Genomic DNA, 10,515 nt, shown 5'->3' on the forward strand with positions numbered 1-10,515 from the left:
TTTACTAAATGGTATTATACTCAGTGTATTAAATGGTAATTGGGGATGGAGATTGGTAGCATTTAGGGACAGTACATATGACTAGAATGTTTTCTTCCCCTCTTCTTAGTATAATGATCTTAGGTGACCTGGAAAGTATCTTACCTTATTTGATAGTCTTCCATACTGTTAGAAAACAGGTAATGGATGTTATCAGGTAATTGCTGATAAATGTTTGAAAATTAGTTTTTTGTAAGGACTTAGTGTATCATGGTACAGCTAGAGTGTGGAACCTATTTTTTATTTCACCCTTAGTAGCTTTGCATTTTGTATGGAAATGTTTAATAGTAGTTGCTATACATTTTTTAACATCAAAGAAATAGTTCATGATTATGGTAAGTACTTTGGAAGATATCCTTTTCAGTATCTTTTTAAATGCTAAAATACCTCTTTTTCAAAGGCATTTTAAATAGAAGAAGGAGAAGAAGGCTCTATGCTCATCGTGATAAAGTGGAGTTTTTAGGAAAGTAAGCTTTAAGCTGCTTTTACCAGTTGAACTCCAAAAATAATGTAGGAGAGAGATGGCTTTCTTTGTTTTTGTTTCAGTGGTGGGGCAAGGTAGAAGAAGGTGGCTTTTTAAATTATTTAGGTGTTACGTTGTTTTAACTAATTTTGAGCACTTGGTAGACAGAGGAGAACAAAATGTACATTAAAGTTCACCTGTCAAATTTTCATTTGTAGAGGGAAGGATGGAGGTTCTAAATACCAGCAATCTTAAAAAAAAAAAAAAAATTAACTCCTTGTGTCTTACCTATTTTTGTATAAAACGACATGTACAGATATTTCCAGCAATTTATGCACATTCTTTAATTCTGTTCCAGTTGAACATATAGTTGACCAGATTAAATGCAGCAAACATCCAGGTGAAATTGAGTCATTTCTTTTTTTGTGGAACTTCTGATTTCTGTCATTGAGTTAATTATATTAAAATTTTGAAACCTGTACTTATTCCTACTAGTATCAGCACTTTTATTTTTCAACTTCCACTGATCTTTTAAAATTGAGGCAATATGCAGTAAAATATTTAAATAATTGCATAAACACCACCAAAGAGATATCAGTTAGAAATGTCAGTACTGGTGAAACTAAGCTATTGGCTAGCAGGCAGCAAGGCCATCATAGGATAGCTCATTCATCAACTGATGTACAAAAGTCAGAGTTTGACACCCTAATAGCATTTTTATTTTAATACATTATTTTTCACAGCATGGGCTGGACATGAATGGAATGTATGAAAGTTTGAAGACCTTTTATTTATCCATTTCTTTTTTTTCCCAGATAAAATTTACATTTTACATTTTGTTTTCTTGCATGTATACTGTAAAAATTACTTCTGTTTGGTGGTGAAATTAAAACTTAATGGTGTTGGTTTCTCTGAACAATTAGTATTTTGGTGTAGTAGTGTTGTCTAGCCAAAAATCTCGTGAATTTACTTTTAATGAAAAGAATTGCCAAATGAGTGAATGGGAAGATTTTGTGGGTGTCTTATTTGCATTTTATTACCATAACCTGACTTTTGTTTTCTAGGCTTTTTCTGGAACTGTTATAGAAAAAGAATTTGTATCACCTTCCTTAACACCACCCCCAGCCATTGCTCATCCCGCACTACCCACTATTCCAGAACGAAAGGAAGTTCTGTTGGAAGCATCTGAAGAAACTGGAAAGAGGGTTTCAAAGTTTAAAGCTGCCAGATTGCAACAGAAAGACTAGGCCCTGTCTAGGAAATGGGAATTTACATCCTAAAACCTAGTTGTTCATTTGTTTAGAGTATCTATAGCAAAATAGGTTACATGTAGTTTGAAATAAGGTATCCTGAGTTACTTTGGCAACAAGTTCTTTTACCCTTACCCGTGGTATTTGAAAAAAATCAAGGTAACTGTCTGAATACTTTAATATCAGCTTGTTTTGTGAATTCTCTGAATACTGTCAACACTCTTATCTAAGTTTGCCTTTATGATGCAGTGGCAGCATTTTGAATTACTTTTCAAAGAATACTGTTCATATGCATTGTTTTTGTGTTTCAAACTAAATACAGGCAGTTTTGTGCCAGCTGTGATATTGTGCATACCATATGGACCATTTTAAAGAAAATTTTAAAATTTCAAATAGATTCAACAATTACATTACTTGCTTTCACATTTTAAAGGCACTTTAAAAAAATCTACTTCTCTTGTAGGTTTTGCGGCTAGTTGGCTATTCAAGAAACCTCGCCCCTCTGAATGTCATACTGTAATCTTTAAGGAAGAAAGCTACATGAATTAATTGTACTCTATGGGAAAATTTCTTTGGAAAGATATTTTGTAAAACTTTTTTTTCCAAGTAAAAACTTTATGAAACTTGGTCTCAAAAATGTTGTGAACTTTATGATTCAAAATTGAGTACAGATATGTCCTTGATTCATATGTATGCTACATGTATCACACAACAGATCTGGAATTCTTTCAGTTCCTCAGATACTTCTCCCTTAGTTTTTGCAGTTTCACTGGGATTATGTTTTGGGAAACAAGGAAAGGTCTAGATGCTTAAACATTTTAAATAAAAATTCCTTACAGTTTCATCTTCCCAACATTTTCATTCTTTAAGGCTACTTTCCTACTAACTGAAATAACACATTTACTTTTACCACAATTCCTCAAAATAAATTTATTCTAACATTGAAAATAACATTACAAGTTAATCATTAGCTTGATGCATGCTAAAATGTAGCTTTTAAAAAGCATTCTGCATTAGTACTAAAATAAGCCATCAATGCCAGTCCACCCTCTCTATTCATGGCTAAATATTTAAAGGTTATTTATAGCTTCTTTAATGAATTCTTCTTAAACAAAGTGAAATTATGTCCTAGAAAAGTAGAAGCTATTCGTAACTAGAGCAGTGCAACTTTAAAGTTTTATGAATATGTATTTTAATGACAAGGGGGCGAGCTTGCATCCCCACTAGTTAATGGATAATTCAAACCGAGGACTGATTTTGAAAGATCACCTAAAAATGTAGATTTGTTCTTTAGTAAATTTAGATCAACTATGCATATATTTTGTAGGTAAATCTTTCAGTCCATGCCCCAACCCTCACCAAAACCAAAGCAGAAATTACACACACAAAGATGCTCCCGTTAGGAATTGCTATTCACATGAGGCTTTCTGTGCTAGATTTTTTTCTCAGAAACAAACTTTACTGTAGGACTATTGTGGTGTTCTTAACAGATTTGTAATTTCAAGATGCGTGTCATTAAATAATTTTTCATGTTCACAGACTTGATTTTGAGCCTGTCTATGTTACATCTTTCAGATAGGTTTTCCCTCATAGAACAAGATGGTAGTAGAAGCAGATAAAGTGTTTGATAACACATTTTTGCGTGTTCTGCTCTGGAGACCATGAAATAGTGTTGCCCCATTTCATAGCTTCAGTCTTATAACAGAGTATTAAATTGTAATTTAAAATTATAGCTTTTTTATATTAAAGTTTGGGACAAAATGAAGCTGTCTTACCTGTTCTGTTTTAAACCATTATAAAACAGAACAGCAGACCAAGAGATTCTCTTTTAAACTTTCTATTTTGAAATATAATAACTTTAGTCTTTCAGAAAATTGCACTAAATAGTACCAAGAGTTCCCATATACCCTCATTTCATTCAGCCTCCCTCAATATTGTAATATAGAACCGTAATATAATTATCCAAATCAGGAAATTTATGTTGGTGCAATAGCGTTAGACCTAAATTACAGATCTTACTTGAATTTCACCAACTTTTCCACCAAATTTTCCATTAGAAAAAGAACTAGTGTTCTTCTGTTCCTCACATCTTGTCTATGACCCTATCTTGCATTTATTTGTTACTTACTGCTCCTTAGTCTTTCCTCCAATCTCAGACAGTTCCTCAGTTTGTCTTTCATAACTGATACTTTTGAAGAGTACTGGTGGGATATTTTGAGGATGTTCCTCAGTTTGGATTTATTTGATGTACTCAGATGCCTTGAGGTTTTGCAATTTTGAAGAGAATACCACAGAAAATGCATCATATCAAGAGGTGCATTCTAGTGTGTCATTTCAAGTTCCTTATTTTGGTGTATCAGTCTTAATCACTTGGTTAAGGTGGTGTCTGCCAGGTATCTCCACTGCAAAATTACTGTTTCCCTTTGTAGTTAATATCTTGGGAGAGATACATGAGACATGAAAATTCTTTTCTCCTCCAACTTATGCTAAGTTTTGCATTCATTAGTGGATCTTGTCTGTAACAGTTACCGCTGTGGTGTTTGCCTAAAGGTGATTTTCTGTTTTGCTCTTTTGCACATTTATTTCTTGAAATTCTTTTATAATAACAAGCTTTGCCTCCATACCTCTCTCTCCAAGTTTATTTGATTATTTATATCTGTGGACACCTGGATATTTTATTATATGGGTTAAAATTCATTACTTACTATCATTGTTTTGTTGCTCAAATTCTTCTGCATTTGCCCATTAGGAACTCCTTTGAGTTAACTCCTAGGTTCTTTAACAAGTTCCCATATTTTTTTGAACACTTTCTTACTGGCACCACAAAATACTACAGGACCATCTATTTTTCCTCTCCCAGCCCTGGAAACAACCACTTCAAGGAACCCTGGTTCCTTTAATTGGAAAATGGTATTTAGAAACCAACATTTGTTCATTTAAGTATACTAATTGCCAATAGGGTGTCATTGCCTCTTGGGCCTTTCAGGAGATACAGCTGGGAAATATATGTATGTGTATTAATGAATATACATTTATGTGTCTGCTTATTAAAAACTCATGAGTTTTGTACTGATACTTCTGATTCTAATTTAACACCACAGGATTAATTTCTGGTTTTCCTTATTTGTTATTTTTTCCAATATGGGTAACCTGCCTCTTGTCTGCAGTGTATTTACTTACTGTTTTTTTGTTGTTGTGTCAGTGTAATATACATGTAGTTTCAGAAGAGCTAATTCATACCCTAGGAGAAACACATTAACTACATTGCACTGTTCTGCAATTCTTTTTGGGTTTTGCCTCATATATCAGTCAAGAAACAGTTTTTCAAAGTTACTGACGTTCTTTTCTTTCCCACCCTCTCTGATCTGTGGACTGATTTGTACTCTTGGTCCTTTTTTTACTGTTTGAGCGTTCTCTCCACAGCCTGGTTGATTTTAATGGTTTATTTTTTCAGTATGTGAAACGTGGTTTTCAGAGTGTGAGCTTTGTAAAAGGATATACATGGAGAAGTGTTGTTCGTACCTCATTCCTACCACCCCATTCCCGTTCCCAGCTGCTTTCTCTCACTTTCCCACCTGCCCATAGTAAGTAAGCTCTAGTTTCTTGTTTAGCCTTTCTATGTCTCTTTTGCACAAATCCCCACCTACCTACTATAAAGAACCAATATTTTTAGCTTCTGGTTTAACTTTTCTATATTCTATACTCATAGCAAATACATGTATATTTTCTTTTTCCTTTTTTTCTTTTCTTTTTTCTTTTTTTTTTTGAGACAGGGTTACTTTTGCCCAGGCTCAAGTGCAGTGGTGCAATCTCGGCTCACTGCAACCTCTGCCTCCTGCGTTCAGGTGATTCTCATGCCTCAACCTCCTGAGCAGCTGGGACTACAGGTACGTGCCACCATGCGCAGGTAATTTTTTTTTTTTTGTATGTTTTGGTAGAGACAGGGTTTTGCATCTTGGTCAGGTTGGTCTAGAACGCCTGACCTCAAGTGATCTACCTCCCTCAGCCTCCCAAAGTGCTGGAATTACAGGCGTGAGCCACTGTGCCCGGCCAATTTTCTTACATGCATTTATTTCTTACATGAAGAAAGACATTGTCCATTGCACTTTAATTTTTTCAGTTAATATTATGCCCTTGCGATCCCTCTGTATCAGTTTTTCTGCCTTCTTTTTTTTTTTTTTTAAACAGCTATAGTACTCCGTTGTATAGATGGTACATAATTTGTTCAGCCGCTTTCCTAGGTATGGGCGTTTAGGTTGTTTGTGATGTTTGGCAATTACATATAATGATGCAATGAATAACTTTATATATGTATTTTTGTATCATTAGAGGTATATCTTCAGGGTAGATTTCTAGGAGTAGGACTGTTGGGCCATATGAACACTTACTTTGATTTCTTTAAAACATAGTAAAATCTGTTTTGAAGTATATTTGTTTTGTTCCCTTATTGAGGACATAGTGGTTTTTTTTGTTTGTTTGTTTGAGACGGAGTCTCGCTCTGTCGCCCAGGCTGGAGCGCAGTGGCCCGATCTCGACTCACTGCAAGCTCTGCCTCCTGGTTCACGCCATTCTCCTGCCTCAGCCTCCCGAGTAGCTGGCACTATAGGCACCTGCTACCACGCCCGGCTAATTTTTTGTATTTTTAGTAGAGACGGGGTTTCACTGTGTTAGCCAGGATGGTCTTGATCTCCTGACCTCATGATCCACCCGCCTCGGCCTCCCAAAGTGCTGGGTTTACAGGTGTGTGCCACCACGCCTGGCCCGAGGACATAGTTTTAACATATACGTATGTCTGCATATCATTGATGATTTTTTAGAATGATTCTGGGGCAGTATGGTATCTTAAAGGGGTTTCAGAATCATTAAAAACATTGTGTTACATAATGATTATGTTCATTTTACTAAAATGTGATTTTTTTAAAATTGGTCATGCATATTTAAGAGCTTTCCATTCATTGAAATAATTCCTAATTTGTGAAATGCAGGTGTCTATTTTACAGATTTGTCTCCTCCATAAGAAACAGGTTTTCAAGGGTAAAACTGATCTTTATCTATCTGTTCTTTAGGTGGTGGCATGTAGGCTGTCAAGCAAAGGCCTATTAAGTGAATTCCTCAGTTAAAATAAATATGATTTATATATTTAATTGGTCAGTATTAAATTTTTACATTTTAAAATAATTTAAATTTCATTTTAGAAGAATATCATTTAGGATTAAAGAATGTTTTTGCAGTTCCCTTAACCAATAAGTCACAAAGAGTTAAATATTTTTTTTAGCACTTACTATGTGTCATGCATTTTTAGCACACTTGGTGTGGATTATCTCATTTAATTGCTCACAGCATCCCAGTGAGGTAGGCACTATTGTTTTATCCTTCACCCTCATCCTAAGACAGAGACTAACATTTTAAGCCACACAACTGTTAAGTAGGTTACACTCAGGCAGCTTTGCTCCAGAACCAGCACTCGTAACACATTTTTTTGACTTTTTTTTTTTTTTAACATTGCCATCTAAACAAGACACTCAGCTAGTGAGGAAATATGTGATCTATATGATGTCTCCATAATTTCACCTACTTACAATGAGGCCACCTTTTAAAAAATCTGAATTTTTGAAGCCTGTTTTGTTTGTTAAACTTTCTACATAAGAAAATTAATGTTGACTTGGTGGAATAGGGTGGAGTTTTTCAATGATGTTATTTGGCCATATACACAAAAGGAATATGATAGGTGGAGAATAGTAAAATTAAGAAGTAATCAGTGTAACAGTATTTCTCTGAAAAGCTGCTCATTTTTTTATGTGAATTTAGGCATTGTGTGCATGTGAGTTTAAAATTAGTGTGTTCCTCATCAAGTGACCTCATAGTGACCGTTTTTATCCCTAATCATGTTTTTTCCTTTAGAGAGTAATAGAGCTAGATATTTTCCTAATATAACAGGTTCCATCTTTTGTGTGTGAGACAGCTTTCTGTTTTGTTTTTGTTTATATGCATACATGCACCTAATACAATTATGCTATTATTAGCGTAAACAGTTGTTTCAGTACCTTTAGTGATGTTTGGTTACATGGATGAATTGTGCAGTGATGAAGTTGGAGATTTTACTGCATCTGTTACCCGAGTAGTGTACGTTGTACCCAATATGTAGTTTTTTATCCCTCACCCCACACCCGGCCTCCCCCTTCTGGGTCTCCAGTGTCCATTATATTACTCTACTCTGTATGCCTTTTCGTACCCATAGCTTAGCTCCCACTTATAAGTGAGAACAGGTGGTATTTGGTTTTCCACCCCTGAGTTACTTCACTGGAGGATAGTGGCCTGCAGTTCCATCCAAGTTGCTGCAAAAGACATCATTTCATTCACTTTTATGGCTGAGTAGTATGCCATGGTGTATATGTACCACATTTTCGTTATCCACTTATTGACTGACAGACACTTAGGTTGGTTCCATATCTTTGCAGCTGTGAATTGTGCTGCAATAAATGTGCAGTTGTCTTTTCGATACAGTGACTTCTTTTCCTTTGGGTAGATAGTAGTGGGATTGCTGGATCAAACGGTAGATCTACTTGTAGTTCTTTGAGAAATCTCCATAGTGTTTTCCACAGAGGTTGTACTAATTTACATTCCCACCAGCAGTGTATAAGTGTTCCCTTTTCATCACATCCATGCATTATCTATTGCTTTTTGACTTTTTAGTAATAACCATTGTAGCTGGGGTAAGGTGGTATCTCATTGTGGCTTTAATTTGCATTTCCCTAATGAATATTTTTTCATGTTTGGCCATTTGTTTATCTTCTTTAGAGAAATGTCTGTCATTTGCCCACTTTTTAATGGGATTTTTTTTCTTGTTGATTTGTTTGAGTTCCTTGTAGATTCTGGATATTAGTCCTTTGTCAGATACATGGTTTGCAAATATTTTCTCCCGTTTTGTGGGTTGTCTGTTTACTCTGATGATGATTTCTTTGACTGTGCGGATGCTTCTTAATCTAATTAGGTTATTTTTTAAAATTTATTTTATTTTATTTTTTATTTTTTTTTGTGACGGAGTCTTGCTCTGTCACCTAGACTGGAGGGAGTAATCTCGGCTCACTGCAACCTCCACCTCCCAGGTTCACGTAATTCTCCTGCCTCAGCCTCCCAAGTAGCTGGGATTACAGGCGTGTGCAACCACACCTGGCTAATTTTTGTATTCTTAATAATAGAGATGGGGTTTCACCATGTTGGCCAGCCTGGTCTCAAACTCCTGATCTCACGTGATTTACAAAGTTGTAAAAAACCCTAGCTGAAATAAAATAAACTACAAGGGTGGCTTTAATACTTCTGAAGACACAATAGCACTCGCCTTGGCCTCCCAAAGTGCAGGGATTACAGGCATGAGCCACTGTGCCCAGCCCTAATTAGGTTCTATTTATTCATTTTTGTTTTTGTTGCATTTACTTTTGGGGTCTTAGTCATAAATTGTTTGCCTAGGCCAATGTCTGGGAAAGTTTTTCTAGGTTTTCTTCTAGAATTTTTATGGTTTCAGGATTTATATTTGTTTTTAATCCATCTTCAATTGATTTGTGTATATCGTGAGAGATGAGGATCCAGTTTCATTCTTCTACATGTGGCTATCCAGTTTTCCCAGCACCATTTATTGCATTTATTGACTAGGGTGTCCTTTTCCCCAGTTGATGTTTTTGTATGCTTTGTTGAAGATCAGCTGGTTCTAAGTATTTGACTTTATTCCTGGGTTCTCTATTCTGTTCCATTGTTCTATGTATCTATTTTTATACCAGTGCCATGCTGTTTTGGTTACTATAGCCTTGTATTATAATTTGAAGGCAGGTAATGTGATGCCTCCAGATTTATTATTTTTGCTTAGGATTACTTTGGTTATTTGGGCTCTTTTTTGGTTCCATATGAACTTCAGAATTTTTTTCTAATTTTGTGAAAAATATTGTTAGTATTTTGATAGGAATTGTATTACGTCTGTGAATTGCTTTGAGCAGTATGATATCGATTCTTCCAATCTGTGAGTATGGGATATATTTCCATTTGTGTCATCTGTGACGATTTCTTTCAGCAGTGTTTAGTAGCCCACCTTGTTGTGATCTTTCACCTCCTTGGTTAAGTATATTCCTAAGTATTTTATTTTATTCTTGTTTTTAGCAGTTGTAAAAGGGATTGGATTTTTTATTTGATTCACAGCTTGGATGTTGGTGTACAGCATTGCTACTGATTTGTGTAGATTTATTATGTAACCTGAGACTTTACTGAATTTATTTATCAAATTTAGAAGTGTTTTGGAGGAGTCTTTAGGGTCTTCCAGGTGTAAGATTGTATCAATGGTGAACAGAGATAATTTGACTTCCTCTTTTCCAATTTGGATACCCTTTATTTCTTTCTCTTGCCTGATTGCTCTGGCTAGGACTTCCTGAAAACAGTTTTTAACCTACTCTGACAGTGTCTTAAAACTGTCAAGTATAGTCTGTATTTTATTGTAATTACTCTTACTGGGAGGACTTTACTAATTTGCTTTGGGCATTTTATTTACCCTGCTTGTTGATTGCCTTTCCTTTTCTTTTTTTTTTTTTTTTAACTGTTGCTCAGACTTAAGTACTTCCCTCTTCCTCTACTGATGGGGAAGTTACATATTTGCTATATTTTAATGTTTTGGCACTTGAAAAGTATGTACTATTATCACTTTATTGTAGCGTTTATAGTACTTGGTTTCATTTGTGTCTAACAGCTTTATTGAGGTATAATTTACATTCTGTAACATCC

At 35.1% G+C, this 10,515-nt stretch overlaps 1 protein-coding gene across 8 annotated transcripts in view, besides 1 other annotated feature; it reads left to right on the forward strand.

The window, feature by feature from the left end:
- The window catches only part of URI1 (URI1 prefoldin like chaperone), a 92,956-nt gene extending 89,664 nt beyond the window's left edge, over window positions 1-3,292 (forward strand). For 5 of the 8 annotated variants that reach the window (NR_045557.1, XM_005259362.3, XM_047439595.1 and 2 more), the window contains one exon: window positions 1,567-3,292. Coding sequence is in view for 7 of the 8 variants with exons in the window: in XM_005259362.3 (XP_005259419.1) it covers window positions 1,567-1,749 (183 nt within the window). In the remaining variant the exon portion in view is untranslated. The remainder of the gene's footprint in view (window positions 1-1,566) is intronic. The other 3 variants (NM_001252641.2, XM_005259363.5, XM_047439596.1) reach the window with 1 other exon arrangement.
- Window positions 3,934-4,123: a silencer, noted in NCBI's record as "silent region_10474". NCBI's record gives its function as "represses an Ori minimal core promoter by ATAC-STARR-seq in GM12878 lymphoblastoid cells {active_cell/tissue: GM12878}" and the evidence as "EXISTENCE:reporter gene assay evidence [ECO:0000049][PMID:35858748]".

The sequence above is a fragment of the Homo sapiens genome, chromosome 19, assembly GCF_000001405.40.
Source record: "Homo sapiens chromosome 19, GRCh38.p14 Primary Assembly".
Taxonomy (NCBI): domain Eukaryota; kingdom Metazoa; phylum Chordata; class Mammalia; order Primates; family Hominidae; genus Homo; species Homo sapiens.